The sequence below is a fragment of the Homo sapiens genome, chromosome 1 (genome assembly GCF_000001405.40).
Source record: "Homo sapiens chromosome 1, GRCh38.p14 Primary Assembly".
Classification (NCBI taxonomy): Eukaryota; Metazoa; Chordata; class Mammalia; order Primates; family Hominidae; genus Homo; species Homo sapiens.
Window position 1 is genome coordinate 33,188,033 of NC_000001.11, and position 20,654 is coordinate 33,208,686.

The 20,654-nt window shown below is 38.7% G+C and overlaps 1 protein-coding gene across 1 annotated transcript in view, besides 1 other annotated feature; it reads left to right on the forward strand.

Moving 5' to 3' along the window:
• ZNF362 (zinc finger protein 362) overlaps nt 1-20,654 on the forward strand; it is a 173,198-nt gene that overhangs the window by 60,511 nt on the left and 92,033 nt on the right. The gene's annotated exons all lie outside the window — the stretch shown is intronic.
• Nucleotides 4,148-4,317: an enhancer, noted in NCBI's record as "experimental_7054 CRE fragment used in MPRA reporter constructs". NCBI's record gives its function as "activates a minimal promoter by MPRAs in K562 erythroleukemia cells, with activity observed for both the introgressed and non-introgressed 1:33657866 variant alleles {active_cell/tissue: K562}" and the evidence as "EXISTENCE:reporter gene assay evidence [ECO:0000049][PMID:34662402]".

Below are 20,654 nucleotides of genomic sequence, written 5' to 3' on the forward strand. Positions count from 1 at the left end.
AGACCAGCCTGACCAACATGGTGAAACCCCGTCTCTACTAAAAATACAAAAATTAGCCGGGGGTGGTGGCGGGTGCCTGTAATCCCAGCTACTCGGGAGGCTGAGGCAAGAGAATCCCTTGAACCCAGGAGGCAGAGGTTGAAGTAAGAGATTGTGCCACTGCACTCCAGCCTGGGCAACAGAATGAGACTTCATCTCAAAACAAACAAACAAACAAACAAACATGTAAGGACAGGTTCTCAACCCTATCTTCAAGCTGATGACTTAGCTATGCCTTCAAGTGGTTATTCCAGCATTTTCTCAGGATGCAGCCCTGGTTGGTATGGTAAATAGCAGGACCAGTGAATAACATGGTCATGTGCTCACTTTCTCCATGGCCATGTTATGGGGGAATGCTTTGATGATAAACTGCACACCCTGGGAACTCTGAGAGAGTGCTGCTGATCATGACATTGTGGACAGAGAAGGCAAATCTGTATCAGTCCCATGAAGTCATAGAAGAGTCACAGCACCTCCAGGGTGGTTGGGTCCAGTGTAATCAACTGGCACCATGTGGCTGGGTGCCCTCCTTGAGGGGTGGTACCATGTCAAGAGCTCAGCCCTGCCTGTGCTTTGACAGATTGGACACTTAGTAGTAATACCTAGGTCAGCCTCGGCCAGAGGAAGCCCATGCTGTTGGGCCATGCGTGGCTTCCATCCCTCTTACCATGGCTTCTCAGTTATGGGTCTGTTGTGCATGCTCTGGGGCAGCTAAGGAGAGAGATAAGCTCATTTCCACTGGATGAATCATCCTATCTAACTGATTGTTCAGCACCTTCTCTGCGATGGACACCCTCTGGTAGACAATGAAATGAGACAGAGACCCACATATTTTTGTGTCTTCTCTCAAAGATCAATCCACATGCTTCTTCCCCAGACCTCCTTAACTGCAATTTTGCAGTCTTGCTCTTCACGAGTCCCTGAGCAATCAGCTGAACTGTTCACTACTGCCTGGGATTCCTGACCTCAGGCCACGACTCTTTCTGCACCAAGTTGATGACTCAATGCACCGCCTAAAGTTCTGCCCCTGCAAAAAATTCTCCACATGGCTGTTCTTCAGGAGCCCTTGAGTGGGACTGTAGTGCAGTAAGAGTGCACTTTTGTTTTCCACCAACCTATTGTGCCAACCTGTCCATAAACCAGGCCTAAGCTTTTTCCTCCTCTGTCACCTGGTCATCAGGAATCTCTCATGATTTCATAAGTGTGAGCTGAGGGGAGAGGTTCCAATGCAGGGATCACAACAGGGGATTCTGGGCCTGCTTCTGTAGTTTATTTGTGACCTCTGGTCCTGCTCAGGCCTAGTTCATGACAACGTTCCATGTCCACCCTTCAATGGATTACTGTTGCACATACTCGACTATACAGTTGGGTGGATCTGACAGTACACAACTTACAATGGGAAACTCTGGCTATATAATCAGTTGATCCCCCATATATATATATTCTACATCGTTTATTGTAACTCTTGTCAGTTGTTAAGCTGTTGCCTCTTAGCGCCGCAACCACACTTCTGTATCAACTTGTGTAGTGCTGGGGCTGGGGTTCAGAAATTCACATTCCAGCATATATATATATATATATATATATATATATATATATATGTATATATATACGTATATATATATACACATATATACGTATATATATACATACACACATACACATATATATATATACACATACTGTTGTCACCTCTGCTTTGGGTGACCCTCACCAGTTTCTTTACAGATTAAGAAACCGATGTGAGGTTTCTACTGCCTGCTGAGTTTACTAATCCCAATTAAGTATTCAGGGATGGGGAAAATAGTCACAGGAGGGTGTGAAGACCCACTGGACTCACTGTAAAATGGGCTTTGGCAAAGACTCCATTTATCATCTTGCCTCCATATCTCCTTACTTTAACAGGAGGGCTATAGTGGCAATTTGGATCCCCTGGAATCAGTGTCAGTCCGGACTCTGAATTCCCCAACTATAGAAATATCTGGATATTTTTGTTCTCCTGTGTACAGTTACTGTGGTACTGGGTCTGAGGACTAGCTTAAGCATGAAAAATGGGTGAGGGATAGTGATTTTCCACTGTGATGGCTCACCTCAGTCTTCACATTACATGCTCTTGATCTGTTTTTATTATATTGGGCAGCAATACCCTTGCTAGTCACCCACTGATCTCGCCCTTAGGAACTTCAGGGTCTATTAGCAATCCCACAGATCTCTGTGGGTAAGGGCCCCTTGGTTGAGTTTCTGACTTTGCTGCCCATTATGGTAATTCCATACACTATGTGTCTGATGGTTAAGTGCTGCTACCTGGCCTCTGCTGTTCTGGAATCCTATTGTCACCATTAAGAAACAGTAGGAACTCCAGTTCCCTAGCAGCTACAACACAATATAGAAGGGGCAGCCACCACTGAGTTGCTCAATGATGTCAGTGCCCCTTCAGGAGCTCATTCTTTATTGCTCCAGTGAAGGTGTACTGGAAACATACTAAGCTACTAAGCTGGTGGTCTTTTGGTTTTAGGCAATACATTTCTCCTCTGAACTTTTGACTCCTTTCTCCAGTTATGTCAGTTCACACATTTCTACATTGTTTATTGTAACTCTTGTCAGTAGTTAAGCTGTCACCTCTTAGCGCCACAACCACCCTTCTGTATCAACTTGTGTAGTGCTGGGGCTGGGGTTCAGAAATTCACATTCCAGCATTGCCAGTTGCTCCCTGTTATGCCTGCCAATGAGGAGGGCAGGAGGGAATTGATGTCGCAGCATCAGGAAGGAGGGACTTGCTTCTTCCTATTGACTTCCTGTCAGCTTCCTGTTCCTGTGAGCATCACCCTAGCAACGCTTCTTCACCCTGGCATCAGCAGCATCTTTCCTTAGCAGCAGCTGAATCCAGTTTGCAGTTTCCCAACACTTCCTAGCACCAGTTTCCAACACTTTGGTGTTCCTCCTCAGAGATCTGAGTTTTGGTTTCTTGGAACTTCTCTTGTAAGCTTCTAAATTTTGATAATTCCACTTCTTATTTTGTTTCACCAGCCGTGGGCATGGTATCTGCTTTTGTCATTGCTATCTTTGTGACAACTTAGCATTCTCTTTTTACCTTTGCAGTTACCTACTTAATAATTTTATACCTACTTAAGAATACACTACATTAGATCTCTATTTAAATTAGTGGTGTAGTTTCTACCTCCTGATTGGACACTGATCCTTTTGTCCTCTGAACCATCCCAGCTCCAAGTGTTCTTGCCAGGATGGTAAGTGCAGAAGCTCAGGAGACTTCGTCCTTATCAACAACTCTTCTCTTCTCCATCCCTATGTTCCATTTCCCTTCTTCCTATGTTCCTTCCCTTCCCAAAGCAGGCACATCTTCCAGCTTTTTATTGGTATCTATTAGGCAGGTCCTGCAGTTCTTTTAGTAAACATCCTTTTTTTTGTTTTTGTTTTTGTTTTTGTTTTTGTTTTTTGAGATGGAGTCTCGCTGTGTCCCCCAGGCAGGCAATGGCACGATCTTGGTTCACTGCAACCACTGCCTCCCAGGTTCAAGTGATTCTCCTGTCTCAGCCTCCCAAGTAGCTGGGACTACAGGTGTGCACCACCACACCTGGCTAATTTTTGTATTTTTAGAAGAGATGGGGTTTCACCATATTGGCCAGGCTGGTCCTGAACTCCTGACCTCAGGTGATTCACCTGCCTCAACCTCCCAAAGTGCTGGGATTACAGGCATAAGCCTGGCCAAAATCCTGTTTCTTTAAGCAGAGATAGTACCTCCTCAATGGTTGAGTGATGAGATTTAACCCTAGTGATTGACCTAGAAGACGCAAGAGAATGTAGAAGCAGATCTTGAAGAGGGCAAGTATCATCTTGCAAGGCATCTGCCTTAGGGGAGGCCTCTGCATAGTTTCCAGGCAAGAGGAGGAAGCCTATTATCCTCTAGCAAACGGGAGTGGGACACTTCTACTACTTTCATCATTAGGTTCTGGATGTGGTTTTCAGACCTATCTGCCCTCCAGCTGTAGGAAATTAGGGGATTTTAAAATGCTGTCATAGTGGCTTTCTAGGTTTCATACCATCCCCTGGGCTGGTAATTGACTAATTTGACCCTATCATTTTCCTCCTTTAGCACTTCAATGGTACTTAACAACAACCAACAAACTCCACCAGTTCTTTAACTACCATTGCCTCCACATCTCTCAGATGTTAGAGAGACTTCATAAATGGTTGTATCCCCTTGTATCTGTATCTTGTCCCCCAATTCATCCTAGGCCTCTACAATATATTAAAGACCATCAATAATGGAATCTTATTACCATTGGCCGACAAATTTTACAATCCTAGATTCCATCCTTGGGATCTAAGACCACTTCTGATCTGAGCTTAGAAGACCAGATACAGACCGCCACACAAAGATTTGAGTTAAATTAGCTTATTTGGAAAGTGACTATTTGGGTAGAGAAGTGGGAATTGATAAAGAAAAGGAAGGCAGACAATAAGAGTGCTACCACAGTGGTTTATTAACGGTTAATTTAGCAGGGAGACTCTGGGAAATGGTGCAAAACATGACTCAGAAATAACGCATATGAAGGGTAAGGGAACCAGGGTATTTATATACCAATGCTGAGAGTCATTGGTTAAGAGTGGTTGCTAACAGTTGGTAGGAAAGGTCCAAGGGATATGGATGGGGAACTGATAGCATCTGCAACAACCTGCACCTACATCTGAGTCCTCTGATTACCTGCTAAAATGCAGATTCCTGAGTACATTCCCTGAATGAAGGGAACTGAGTGAAGTGTATTCGGGAGTCTTCTGCAGCTTCCTATGAATGTATAATTATTCCAAAATAAAAAGTTAAAAAATAGATAGTATGACCAAGAACATAAATTATATAGAAATATATACGTATATATATGTCTCTCTCTCCACACACACACACACACACACACACATATATATATATATATATACGCATATATATGCAGGTTCCAGGGTTTACTTTCATTGACTATGGGGTACTGTAGAAAGAAAAGAAGTTCCTTTTATCTCTTACGCTAAATAAATAGAAATGCTAGGTAAAATATAAAAAGTACATTAAAAAATATATAGCTGAGCTCAAAAGCTCAGGTGGAGCTAGAAAAGAGCTAGGAAAGAGTCACCTGGAAGCAATTGTAATCACAATCTGCATTAGTATGGGTGTGAGAATTAAGTTCACATGTTTGCATTAACTGTGTGATGGTGGCAGTGATGTTTGGGGGAACCCTAGCTAAGAAATTGACATAAAGTTTGTCTTGGAACTGGTTAAACTAATGGATCTTCTTGTGAAACTACCTGTGATTCTCCTCCACAATGCAGGGCACACAGGACTTCTATAGAAAACAACTCCCACTGAAGATAATCTCATGGTAAAAAACATTACAAAGTATGAGAGGAAAAGGATTGCTAGGAAAGAAAGTCAGAAGATGAAATAACCTGGATAATTCACATGCTGTTTTAGTTGGGTCCTCCAGAAAGTAAATGCAGAGACGGGATTAGGAGTGCAAGGGGTTTATTGAGGGGTAATGCCTGTAAAAGACAAAATGGGGAGAATCAAGATTGGGCAGAGAGCCTTAGATGGGACGCAAATGTGATAAAGTCTTGGCTAACACAAAGGGGGATTATAGAACAAATACCGCCTGTTAGAGAAAGTCCCTTGTTGAGCAGAAATAGCAAGACTATAGTACACCTGCCATGTTCATAAAGTTATTGCTTAGGGACTGCCGAAGAAGAGCATAGCCTTAACTAAAAAACGGAGGCATATCTTGAAGGCAGTAACGGTACTAACAGCTTGAGGTAGTCAGCCAACTGCACTTGTGTGGCTGAAGAGCAAGTTCTTTCTTGAAGGGAGATCTTAGTGGTGCATACGCCAAAAATTAGGATTATAGAACAACCTGAGAAATTTTAATGTAAGTATGTTTAAATGAGATAAAATTAGGAATCGAAGACATAAGGCAAGAAGAAGAGCTTATGAAAAAAGAAGCAAATAGAAATAGCAAAAATGAACTATTAAAAATGCAATAGATGTTTTAAAGAGTAGATTAGACACAGATGGAGAGAGAGAATTAGTACACTCAAATTGATCTGAAGAAATTACCCAGAAGGCAGCACAGAAAGCAGCACAAAGAGATGAAATTATAATAGTATGGAATATTAGTGCAGTGGGCTGGGCACGGTGGCTCACACCCGTAATCCCAGCAATTTGGGAGGCTGAGGCTGGTGGATTGCTTAAGCCCAGGAGTTGGAGACCAGCCTGGGCAAAATGGCAAAACCCCATCTCTACTAAAAATACAAAAAATTAGCCGGGCATGGTGGCACATATCTGTAGTTCCAGCTACTTGGGAGGCTGAGGTGGGAGAATCACCTGAGCTTGGGAAGTCGAGGCTGCAAAGAGATTGCACCACTGCACTCCAGCCTGGGTGACGAGTGTGTGACCCTGTCTCAAAAAAAAAAAAAAAAAAAAATACATGGGGTCTGAAGCCGCACACCTGGTATTAAATCTCTGATACTTACTATTAATAGCAATAGAGATTCAGGTATGTTTTTAAGCCTTTTGTGTATCAATTTTCTCATCTATAAAATGGAGATATACTATAATGTTATAATGTTATAATATACTATAATGTACCTACCTCATGGTGTTGCTATGAGGATTAAATGAGTTTATAGTTCTTGGCACATAGAGAGTGCTCAGTATTATAGAGTAATGGAAAATATGAAAGATAAAAATCATAGAGGAGAAAATGAGAAGTTCCAAAATTTATACTAGATTAGTAGTTCTACAAGGAGGAAATAGGGGAGAAGAAGCACCATTCTAAGAAATAATGATGAAGGATTTTCTACAAGCAAAGAAAAATGAGCCTCTGGAATGAAAAGGCACATTGAGTTCTGAGTAGAATAAAAAATTTCATTTCTAGACATATTGAAGAGACTGAAAAACAATAAAAATAAAAAAATCTGAAAAGCCATCAGAAATGAAACATCCACAAATGAATGATGTTCTGCCTGAAGCCAATTTCTCATCAGCAACAATAGATGCCAGTGGACTAATACCTTTGAAGTGATCAGAAAAACAAATTCTACATTCAGTTAACCAGCATTTAAGGATGAATGCAAAATAAAGACATTTTCAGATATATACAGACTGAGGTTTAACTAATCTCAGACTTTTGCTCAAAGAATTTATGAAGGGTGGACTTTAGCAAGAAAAAAATTCAGCTCAGAGGGGAAGAATCTTCCAATCAAAATGGAAGAATAAGAACCAGATTTACCTTTTCACCTGGAACAACAAATAAAACTGGACAAAACAGTTATTATTGATAATTATTTAATGATGAGGATGTATTCTGAGAAATGCACCTTTAGGTGTTTTTTGTCCTTACTGAAACATCATAGAGGATACTTACACAAACCTGGATGTCATAGCCTACTACACACCTGGGCTACATGTAGAGCCTGTTGCTCCTAGGCTCCTGTACAGGATGTTACTGTATTGAATACTGTTGGCAATTGTAACACAATGGTAAGTATTTGTGTTTAAACATATCTAAACATAGAAAAGGCAGACTAAAAATATGGCATAAAAGATTAAAGTATGGTATATTTCTATAGGGCACTTACCACAAGTGAAGCTTGCAGGACTGGAAGTTGCTCTCGGTGAGTCAGTGAGTGGGTGGTGAGTGAATGTGAAGTTGTAGGACATTATGCATAATTCTGTAGACTTCATAAACACTGTACACTATGGCTACACTAAATTTATAAAAAAATTTTCTTTCTTCGATAATAAATTAACCTTAGCTTTCTGTAACTTTTTTACTTTATAAACTTTTTAAACTTTTAAAAACTTTTGGGCTCTTCTGTAATAACACTTAGCTTAAAACATGTACACGTTGTACAGCTGTACTAAAATATTTTCTTTATATCCTTATTCTATAAGCCTTTTTGTATTTTTTAAATTATTATTCTTAGGTTTTACTTTTTAAACTTCTTTGTTAAAACCAAAGACACAGGCTGGGTGCAGTGGTCCACACCTGTAATCCCAACACTTTGGGAGGCCGAGTCAGGTGGATTGCTTGAGGTCAGGAGTTCGAGACCAGCCTGGCCAACATGGTGAAACCCTGTCTCTACTAAAAATACAAAAATTAGCCGGGCATGGTGGCAGGCGCCTGTAATCCCAGCTACTTGGGAGGCTGAGACAGGAGAATTGCTTGAACCTGGGAGACAGAGGTTGCAGTGAGCCAAGATTGCTCCATTGCACTCCAGCCTGGGTGACAGAGCAAGGCTCCATCTCAAAAACAAACAAACAAGCAAACAAACAAATAAAAAACAAAGACACAAACATATGCATTAGCCTAGGCCCACACAGGGTCAAGATCATTGATATCACTGTCTTCCAAGTCCACATCTCGCCCCACTGGAAGGTTATCAGGGGTAATAACATGCATGGAGCTGTCATGTCCTATGCTAACAATGTCTTCTTCTGGAATACCTCCTGAAGGACCTGCCAGAGGTTGTTTTGCAGTTAACTTTTTTTTCTTTTAATAAGTAGAAGGAGTACACTTTAAAATAATGATAAAAATTATAGCATAGTATACATAAACCAGTAACAGCTGTTTATTATAATTATCAAGTATTATGTACTGTACATAATTGTATGTGCTAGACTTTTATATGACTGGCAGTGCAGTAGGCCATTTACACCAGCATCACTACAAACATGTGAGTAATATATTGCACTATGACATTTTGATGGTTAATATTAGGTGTCAATTTGATTGGATTGAAGGATGCCTAGATGGCTGGCAAAGTACTGTTTCTGGGTGTGCCTGTGAGTATGTTGCCAGAGATTTACATTTGAGTTGGTGGACTGGGAGAGGAAGACCCACCCTCAATGTGGGTGGGTGCCATCCAATGGGCTGCCAGCTAGAACAAAGCAGGTGAAAGAAGGTGGGATATCCTAGCTTGCTGAGTTGTCTGGCTTCCTTCTTTCTTCTGTGCTGGATGCTTTCTTCTGCTCCTCCTGCTCTTGGACATCAGAGTCCAGGTTCTTTGGTCTTTGGATTCTGGGTCTTGCACCAGTGGCTTGCTGGGGGATCTTGGGCCTTCAGCCATTGACTGAAGGCTGCACTGTTGGCTTCCCTTGTTTTGAGGCTGTCAGACTCAGACTGAGCCACTACTGGCTTCTCTCCTCCCCAGTTTGCAGACAGCCTATTGTGGGACTTTGCCTTGTAATCGTGTGAGCCAATCCTCCCTAATAAACTCCCTTTCATATATATACATATATCCTATTAGTTCTGTCTCTCTGGAGAACCCTGACTAATACAGATGGCTATGGCATCACTAGGGGATAGGAATTTTTCAGCTCCATTGTAATCTTTTGGGACCACTGTCACATATGCGTCCATCATTGATCAAAAGTCGTTATGCAGTGCATAACTATATATGAAACGATGGTTCTCAAGGCATTGGACATTAGGCAAAAAGGGGAGCAATCTCTGGGAAACAAGCAAGGTGAGCTAAACAGTTTCCAACCTTACTGCCTAGAAAGAGTTTCCAGGCCACAGTACGGGGGAGGGAACCCAGGCTAACCCTGGAGGTCTTTCTGAGAGGAGGAGACAGAGCTGAGAGGCCAAGGAAGCCAAGGAAGCTAGAGTTTGCCGGGCAGAGTCCCAGAAAGGAGAGCACTTCATAGTACTGAGTACTGATCATGTGCATGTGAGGAAATGACCCAAGCCTTGGGAAAGAACTTTACAAAAAGAGTAGAGAAAAACATTCTCAGAGTTCACATATAGTCAGGAATAGTGATCTTCCCACCGGCCACAGTAGAAAAATCTCATAACTCTTGAGGCACTGTGTAGAGCACTCAGAAGGGTTTTGCCTCAGTAACAAGGGAATTTAACTCTTGACTAAATGCTACTGGGGTTCTGCCAAGAATGTTGAAAGTAAGACCTGAAAGGATCAAATTATCTCAGAGTAACTTAACTACATTAAGAACAAAGCTAAAGAATATTTATAGGCATATAAAAATTATCCAGAGCCCCCCAAAAAGTAAAATTTACAATGTCTAGCATCCAATAAAAAATTACCAGGCAAGTGAAAGTGCAGAAAAATACTATGTATAAAGAAGAGAAAAGTCGGCCAAGTGTGGTGGCTCATGCCTATAAATCCTAAATCCTAGCACTTTGGGAGACCAGGGTATTTGAGCCCAGTAGTTCAAGACCAACCTGGGCAACACAGTGAGATGCTATCTCTATTAAATTTAAAAAACAAAAATAAAAAAGAAGAGAAAAGTCAAAGCTGGGCATGGTGGCTCATGCCTGTAATCCCAGCACTTTGTAAGGCCAAGGTGGGCAGATTGTTTGAGCTCAGGAGTTTGGAGACCAGCCTGGACAACATGGCAAAACCCCATCTCTGCAAAAAATACAAAAATTAGCTGAGTATGGTGATGCACGCCTCTAGTTTCAGCTACTTAGGAGGCTGAGGTGGGAGGATCACTTGAGCCTGGGAGGTTGAGGCTGATGTGAACCATGATCATGCCACTATACTCCAGCCTGGGCAACAGAGCAAGATCCTGTATCAAAAATTTAAAAAGAGAAAAGTCAATCGTCAATCAATCAAAACTGACCCAGAAGTGACACATGATAGAATTAGGAGGCAAAGACTTTAAAACACCAATTGTAACTGAATTCCATATGTTCAAAAAGCCAGAAGAAAGATTAAACATGTTAAACAGAATAATAGAAGATATTTTAAAAATACTCAAATCAAACATCCAAACATGAAAATCACAATGTTTGAAGTGAAAAATATACTGGATGAGATTAATGGCAGTTTTGACACTGCAGAAGAACAGATTTGTAAACTTGAAGATACAGCAATAGAAGCTATCCAAAATAAAACACAGAAAGAAAAAAGACAAAAACAAATAAAAAGAGCATCAGTGAGTCATGGGATAATTTAAAGCAGCCTAACATATGTATATTTGGAGTCCCTTAAGGAGAGAAGGGAAGAAAAGAAAAAAATTGAAGAAACATCTGAAAAATTTCCAAATTTGATGAAAACTATAAACTCACATAACCATGAAACTCAACAAACCTAAACACAAGAAACATAAAGAAAAAATACACCAAGGCACATCACAATCAAATTGCTCAAAACAAGTTAAAATGAGAGAATCTTAAAAACCGCTAAAGGAAGAAGAAACATTACACAGAGGAACAAAGAATGACAGTAGATTTTTTTTTATTATAAACAATGCAAACTAAGAGATAGTGGAACAACATCTTTAAAGTACTGAAAGGAAAAATCTACCAAGCTAGAATTCTACACCCATTGAAAATATATTTCAAAAATGAAGGGGAAATAAATACTTTCTTGGAAATACAAAAACTGAAAGAATTTATCACCAGCAGACCTGTACTTACAAGAAATGTTAAAGGAAGTTATTCAAGCAGAAAGAAAATGATACAAGATGGAAATCTGGATCTATGTAAAGAAATGAAAAGTACTGGAAATGGCAATTATGTGGGTAAAAAATAATGCCTTTTAAAAATTATTTAAATCCCTTTAAAGATAATCAACAATTTAGAGCAAAAGCAATAACAATGCATTGTTACTGTGGGGTTATAAGTAAAAGTAAAATATCTAGGCCGGGCATGATGGCTCATGCCTGTAATCCCAGCACTTTGGGAGGCTGAGGCAGGTGGATCACCTGAGGTTGGGAGTTTGAGACCATCCTGGCATGGGGAAACCCCATCTCTACTAAAAATACAAAAATTAGCCAGGTGTGATAGCAGGTGCCTGTAATCCCAGCTACTCGGGAGGCTGAGGCAGGAGAATTGCTTGAACCTGGGAGGCAGACGTTGCCGTGAGATAAGATGGCGCCACTGCACTCCAGCCTGGGCAACAGAGCAAAACTCCATCTCAAAAACAAAACAAAACAAACAAACAAAACAAAACAAAACAAAAAAACCAGTAAAATATCTGACAACAATAGCACAAAGTCCAGGAGGGGCTAAGTGGAAGTGTACTGTTATAAGGGTCATATTCTGTTTGTGAGGTGGTGTACTATCACTTGAAGGTAGGCTGTTGTCTTATCTATTCCTGCTGCTGTGACAAAATACCTTAGGCAAGAAGCTAAGGTGGAAGGATCACTTGAGCCCAGGAGTTAGAGGTTACATTACAATGAGCTATGATTGTGCCACTGCACTCCAGCCCAGGTGACAGAGTGAAACCCTGTCTCTTAAAAAAGAAAGAGAAGAAAAAATACTCAATCCAAAAAAGGCAGAAAAAGAGAAAAAATGGAAGAAAAAATTGAAATAGGACAAACAGAAGTCAGATAGCCAGAATTCAAACTCAACCATATCAAGAATTACATTAATGTAAAAGATTTAAATACTCCAATTAAAAAGTATAGATTTTCAGACTGAATAAAAAAGCAAGGCACAGCTATATGTTACTTATAAGACATCCACTTTAAATATAAGATACAAACAGGTTAAAAGTAAAAGGATGGAAAAATATATATCACATCATAGCCAATCAAAATGAAGTAGATTTCAGAGTAAAGGTTATTATTAGAGATAAAGTGAGTTATTTCACAAAGAAAAGGGGGTCAATTAATCAGGAGAACATAGAAGTCCTAAGCAACTAATAAGGGAGCTTTGAAATACATTGTTATGGGCTAAATTGTGTACCCTTTCCAAAATCATAAAGTCCTAACCTCCAATGTGACTATATTTGGAGATAGGATATTTAAAGAGATAATCAGGTTAAATTAGGGTGGGCCCTAATCTACTATGACTGGTGTCTTTGTAAGAAGAGAGAATTTGGACACAGACAAGGTACAGAGGGAATATGATGTGAAGACACAGGGAGAAGACCGTCATCTACAAGACAAGGAGAGAGGCCTCAGAAGACATCAACCCTGCTGAAATCTTAATCTTGGATTTCTGGCCTCCATATCTGTGAGGAAATAATTTTTTTTTTGTTTAAGCCACATTGTCTATAGTGCTGTATTATGGCAGCCCTAGCAAACTAATACATGCATGAAGCAAAAACTGATAGAACGAACTGCAAGGAAAAAGAGACAAAGCCACAATGATAGTAGGAGATTCCAACACCCTTCTATTAGAAGTTGATAGAAAGAGTAGGCATAGATCAGTAAAGATACAGGAGTTGAACAATACTGTCAGCCAACTTGATCTAATAGACATTTATAGAACACTTCATCCAACATCAGCAAAGTACACATTAATTTCAGCTAACACGGAACATTTACTAAGACAGACCATATTCTGGGGCATGAAACAAGGATTGATAAATTTAAATGAACTCAAGTCATATAAAGTATATTTCCTGACAACAATGAAATAAAATTAAAAGTCAATAATGGAAAGATCTCTGGAAAATCTGCAAGTATTTAGAAACTGAATAACATACTTCTAAACAATCCATGGGCTAAAGAAGAAATCAAAAGACAAATTAAAATATTTTGAATGGAATTAAAATGGTAATACACATATTAAAATTTGTAGGATGCTGCTACATAGTACATAGAAGGAAAGTTATAGCACTAAATGCTCTATATTAATCAAGGGCCTTAGCTTTCACCTTAAGAAACAACAAAAAGAGAAAATTAAATGTAAAGTAAGCAGAAGAAATAAATGATAAAGATGAAAGCAAAATTCAATGAAATAGAAAACAAAAACGATACAGAACATCAATGACAACAAAAGCTGGTTCATAGAGCAGACCAGTAAAATTGACAAATCTCTATCCAGACTGATTTGGGAAAAAAGGGAAAGAAAATATAAATTATTTCAATACCAAGAATGAAAGGGTGACATCACCACAGATTCTAAATACATCAAAAGGATAATAAGGGAGTACTATGAGCACCTTTGTGCCAAGAAGTTGGATAACTTAGATGAAATGGACAAATTCCTCAAAAGATAAAAACTACCAAAGTTCACTCAAGAAGAAATAAATAACCTGAATAGCCCTCAAATATTACATAAATTGAATTCGTATTTAAAAGCCTTTCCATAAATAAAACTCCAGGTCCAGACAGCTTCACTGAGGAATTCTTCCAAACATATAAGAAGGAAATAATACAAATTCTAAATAAAATCTTCCATAAAATTGAAGAGGAGGGAATATTTTCCAATTCATCCTATAAAACCAGCAGGTTGAATTTAACAATATATAAAGAAGACACTGTATCAGGCCGGGCGTGGTGGCTCACGCCTGTAATCCCAGCACTTTGGGAGGCGAGGGCGGGCGGATCACAAGGTCAGGAGATTGAGATCATCCTGGCTAACATGGTGAAACCCTGTCTCTACTAAAAATACAAAAAAAATCAGCCAGGCATGGTGGCGGCCGCCTGTAGTCCCAGCTACTGGGGAGGCTGAGGCAGGAGAATGACGTGAACCCGGGAGGCGGGGCTTGCAGTGAGCCGAGATTGCGCCACTGCACTCCAGCCTGGGTGACAGAGCGAGACTCCATAAAAAAAAAAAAAAAGACGCTATATCATGACCAAAAGGATACTATGCCTCGGGAATGTAAGATTGGTTTAAGCATCCCAAATCAATCACTATAATTTATCATGTTGACAGGCTGAGAAAGAAAAGCTATATAATCATCTTAATTGATGCAGAAAAAAAATTTATAAAAGCCAGCACTCAATCTTGATTAAAACACTCAATGTGCTAGGAACAATAGTGGAGTTCCTCAGCCCAGTGAAGATCACTTTTTTATTTAAAATTTTTATTGTATATATTTAAGGTATATAAATACCTTAAATATGATGTTTGGTATACATACATTTGGCGAAGTTGTTAATGTAGTCAAGCAAATTAACATATCCATCATCTCAAATAGTTACTCCTTTCCTTTTGTGGGAATACCACCTAAAATCCATTCTTTCAACAAAAATCTCAAATATAATACAATATTATTAGTGATAGTCCTTATGTGTTACATTAGATCTCCAGATTTGTTCATCCTACATAGCTACAACACTGTATCCTTGGATCTACATCTCCCTATTTACTCCTTCCCATCTACCATTTTATTCTCCATCTTTCTGACTTTTCTTTTTTTTGATGATTCCACATATAAGTGAGATCATGCAATATTTTCCTTTCTGTGTTTGGCTTATTTCATTTAGCATAATGTCTTCCAAGTTCATCCATGTTGTGGTAAATGGCAGGATCTCCTTTTTTAAGGCTGAATGATATTCCATCATATATGTGCACCATGGTTTCTTTACCCATTCATCCATCGATGGATATTTTAGTTTGTTTTCATATCACGGCTATTGTGAATAATGCTGCAATGAACATGGGAGTACAGACGTTTCTATGAGATGATGATTTTATTTCATTTTTGTATATACCCACAAGAAGGATTGCTGGGTCATATAGTACTTCTATTTTTAATTTCTTTGGAAACCTCCATGCTGTTTTCCACAATGGCTGTACCGATCTACATTCCCACCAACAGTGTACAAGGGTTCCCTTTTCTCCACACTCTTAACATGTGTTATCTCTCATCTTTTTGATAATAACCATCTTAACAGGTGTGAGGTGATATCTCCTTGTGGTTTTGATTCGCATTTCCCTGATGATTAGTGATGTTGAACACCTTTTCATACACGTATTGACCATTTTAATGTCTTCTTTGAAGAAATGTCTTTTCAGTCCTTTGCGCATTTTTTAATTGGGTTATTTGTTTTCTTGCTATTGTTTCTTGCTATTGAATTGTTTGAGTTTCTTATATATTTTGGATATCAGATGTACGGTTTGCAAACATTTTCTCCCATTTTGTATGCTGCCTTTTCCTTTTACTGACTGTTTCCCCTGCTGTGAAGAAGCTCTTTGGTTTGATGTAGTCCCATTTATTTATTTTTGCTTTTATAGCCTGAGCTTTTTGTGTGATATCCAGAAAATTATTACCAAGGCCAAAGTCAAGGAGCTTTTCCTCTGTGTTTTCTTTTAGAAATTTTATGGTTTTGGTTCTTATATTTAGGTCCTTTGTCCATTTTGAGTTGATTTTTTTCTGTATAATATAAGAGTCCAGTTTCCACATTTTTTGGCATGTGGAAATCTAGTTTTTCAGCACCATCTATTGAAGAGGCTGTCTTTTCCCCATTATGTCTTCTTGGTACCCTTGTCAAAAATTAGTTGACCATATATGACTGAGTTTATTTCTGGGCTCTCTATTCTGTTCCATTTGTCTATGTGTCTGTCTTTTATGTCAGTACTATACTGTTTTGATTACCATACCTTTATAATATAATTAAAAATCAGGAAATGTGATGCCTTCAACTTTGTTTTTCTTTCTCTAAATTGCTTTGGCTACTTGTGGTCTTTTGTGGTTCCATACAAATTTTAGAATTGCTTTTCCTATTTCTGTAAAGAATGCCATTGAAACTTTCATAGGGATTGGAATAAACCTGTATATGGAATTCAGTAGTATGAACATTTTAACAATATTAATTCTAATCCATGAACATAGGATGTCTTTCCATTTAGTTGTGTCTTCTTCAATTTCAAATGGCATTTATGAAAAACCTACAGTTTACAGCATACTTCATGGTGAAAGACTGAATGCTTTCCTCTAAGATCAGAATCAAATCAAGGATGTCTGCACTCATCTCTTTTATTCATCGTTACTGTACTAGGGGTTCTTGCCAGTCCCATTGGAATAAGAAGTGAGTTTGGTAAGGCTTCAGGATACAAAATTAATATGTAAGAATCTATTGTATTTCTATATATTAGCAACAAACGATCAGAAATTAAAATTTAAAAACATCTTTTATAATAGCCTTAAAATATAGGAAATACTTAGGGATGAATCTACAAGATATGTGGAAGACCTATATATTGAACACTACAAAACATTGCTGAGAGAAATTAAAGACTCAAATAAATGGGAAGATATACCATGTTCTTAGATTAGAAGACTCAATACTGCTAAGATGTCAACTCTCTCAAAATTCATCTATATATTTAAGAGAATCCTAATGCAAATCCTGTGTGTTTTTGTGTGTGTGTGTGTGTATTTACAAATGGATGAGCTAATTTTAAAATTCTAAAAAATGCAGAGAATGGCTGGGCACAGCGGCTCACAACTATAACGTCAGCACTTTGGGAGGCTGAGGCAAGAGGATCACTTGAGCTCAGAAGTTCAAGACCAGCCTGAGCAACATAGTGAGACCTCATCTCTACTAAAAATTTAAAAAGTTAGCCAGGCATGGTGGTGCACGCCTGTGGTCCCAGATACTTGGGAAGCTGAGGTGGGAGGATCACGTGAGCCCAGGTGATGGAGGCTGCACTGAGCTATGATTGCACAACTGCACTTCAGCCTGGGCAACAAATAAAGACCCTATCTCAAAAAAGAAAAAAATGCAAAGGATCTAAAATAGAAAAAAATAACTTTGAAAAAAAAGAAGAAAGTTGAAGGACTTATTTGACTTTATGACATTATAAAGCTACAGTAGTCAAGATATTTTGGTATTGGTATCAAGATAGACAAACAGGGCCAGGTGTGGTATCTCACACCTGTAATCCCAGCACTTTGGGAGGCTGAGGTGAGTGGATCACCTGAGGTCAGGAGTTTGAGACCAGCTTGGCAAACATCATGAAACCCTGTCTCTACTAAAAATACAAAAAAATTAGCCAGATGTGGTGGTGGGTGCCTGTAATCTCAGGTACTTGGGAGGCTGAAGCAGGAGAATCATTTGAACCTGGGAGGCAGAGGATGCAGTGAGCCAAGGTCGCACCACTGCACTCCATACTGGGCGACAGAGCAAGACTCTGTCTCAAAAAAAAAATAAATAAATAAAAGATAGACAAATAGATCAATAGAACAGAGTACAGATTCCAAATATAGACCCGTGTTTATATAGTCAACTGATTTTTGACAAAGATGTGCAGGCCATTCATTTGAGAAAAGATAATCTTTTAAAACAAATAATATTGGAAAAATTATATATTCATGTGCAAATGCAAAAACAAAACAAAAATAAAACTTGAGCCATAACTTCAAATGTATCATAGAAAATTAGCATATAAAAATGTTTGACATCATTAATCATTAAGGAGATGCAAATGAAAACTACAATAAGATACTACCATGCACCTGTTGATTTTAGATCTTTCCTGCTTAAGTGTACAACATAAAAATATAAAACTTCTAGAAGAAAACATATAAGATAATTTTATGGGCCTTGAGTTGGGCAAAGATTTATTGGACATAATACCAAAACAAAAAAAAAATGACTACAACAAACAAGAAAAAATTGATAAACTGGATTTCATCGAAGTTAAGAAAATTTGTAATTCAAAAGAATCTATTATAGCTAAGCATGGTGATATGAACCTGTAGTCTCAGTTACTCATGAAGCTGAGATGGGAGGATCACTTGAGCCCAGGAATTTGAGGCTGCAGTGTGTTATGATTGCACCTGTGAATAACTACTGTACTCTAGCCTGGCCAACACAGTGAGACCCCATCTGTAAAAAGAGAAAAAAATACTATTATAAAAACGAAAAGACAAGCCACAGACTGGGGAAAAATATTTGCATATCACATATCTGATAAAGGACTTGTAACTAGAATGTATAAAGAACTCTGAAAACTCAATAATAGTAAAACACACATCTCTCCCAAAATGGGCAAAAAACTTTCAGACACTTAAATAATATATGCAGATGGAAAATTAGTATATAAAATATGTTCGACATCATTAATCATTAAGGAGATGCAAATTAAAACTACAATAAGATACTACTATGCACCTGTTGTAATGTCTAAGATCATACCATCTGTTGGGGAGGATATGGAGAAACTTGACAATTCCTTTTTATAAAATTATACTTTAAGTTCTAGGGTACATGTGTACAACGTGCAGGTTTGTTACACAGATATACATGTGCCATGTTGGTTTGCTGCACCCATCAACTCATCATTTACATTAGGTATTTCTCCTAATGCTATCCCTCCCCCAGCCCCCCACTCCCCAACAGGCCCCGGTGTGTGATGCTCCCCTCCCTGTGTCCATGTGTTCTCATTGTTTAACTCCCACTTATGAGTGAGAACATGCGGTGTTTGGTTTTCTGTCTTTGTGATATTTTGCTGATAATGATGGTTTCCAGCTTCATCCACGTCCCTGCAAAGGACATGAACTCATACTTTTTTATAGCTGCATAGTATTCCATGGTGTATATGTGCCATATTTTCTTAATCCAATCTATCATTGTTGGACATTTGGGTTGGTTCCAAGTCTTTGCTATTGTGAATAATGCCGCAATAAACATACCTGTGCATGTGTCTTTATAGCAGCATGATTTATAATCCTTTGGGTATATACCCACTAATGAGATTGCTGGGTCAAATGGTATTTCTAGTTCTAGATCCTTGAAGAATCACCACACTGTCTTCCACAATGGTTGAACTAATTTACACTCCCATCAACAGTGTAAAAACCTTCCTATTTTTCCACATCCTCTCCAGCATCTGTTGTTTCCTGACTTTTTAATGATCGCCATTCTAACTGGCGTGAGATGGTATCTCATTGTGGTTTTGATTTGCATTTCTCTGATAACCAGTGATGATGAGCATTTTTTCATATGTCTGTTGGCTGCATAAATGTCTTCTTTTAAGAAGTGTCTGTTCATATCCTTTGCACTTTTTGATGGGGTTGTTTTTTTTCTTATAAATTTGTTTAAGTTCTTTGTAGATTCTGGATATTAGCCCTTTGTCAGATGGATAGATTGCAAAAATTTTCTCCCATTCTGTAGATTGCCTGTTCACTCTGATGATAGTTTCTTTTGCTGTGCAGAAGCTCTTTAGTTTAACTAGTCCTCATTTGTCTATTTTGGCTTTTGTTGCCATTGCTTTTGGTGTTTTAGTCATGAAGTCTTTGCCCATGCCTATGTCTTTAATGGTATTGCCTAGGTTTTCTTCTAGGGTTTTTATGGTTTTACGTCTTTAATCCATCTTGAGTTAATTTTTGTATAAAGTGTAAGGAAGGGATCCAGTTTCAGCTTTCTACATATGGCTAGCCAGTTTTCCCAGCACCATTTATTAAATAGGGCATCCTTTCCCCATTGTTTGTTTTTGTGGGGTTTGTCAAATATCAGATGGTTGTAGACGTGTTATTTCTGTGGCCTCTGTTCTGTTCCATTGATCTATATATCTGTTTTGGTACCAGTACTATGCTGTTTTGGTTACTGTAGCCTTGTAGTTTAGCTTGAAGTCAGGTAGCGTGATGCCTCCAGCTTTGTTCTTTTTGCTTAGAATCGTCTTGGCTCTGTGGGCTCTTTTTTTGTTCCATATGAAATTTAAAGTCGTTTTTTTCCAATTCTGTAAAGAAAATCAGTGGTAGCTTGATGGGGATAGCATTGAAACTATAAATTACCTTGTGCAGTATGGCCATTTTCACGATATTGATTTTTCCTATCCATGAGCATGGAATGTTCTTCCATTTGTTTGTGTCCTCTTTTATTTTGTTGAGCAGTGGTTTGTAATTCTCCTTGAAGAGGTTCTTCACATCCATTGTAATTTGGATTCCTAGGTATTTTATTCTCTTTG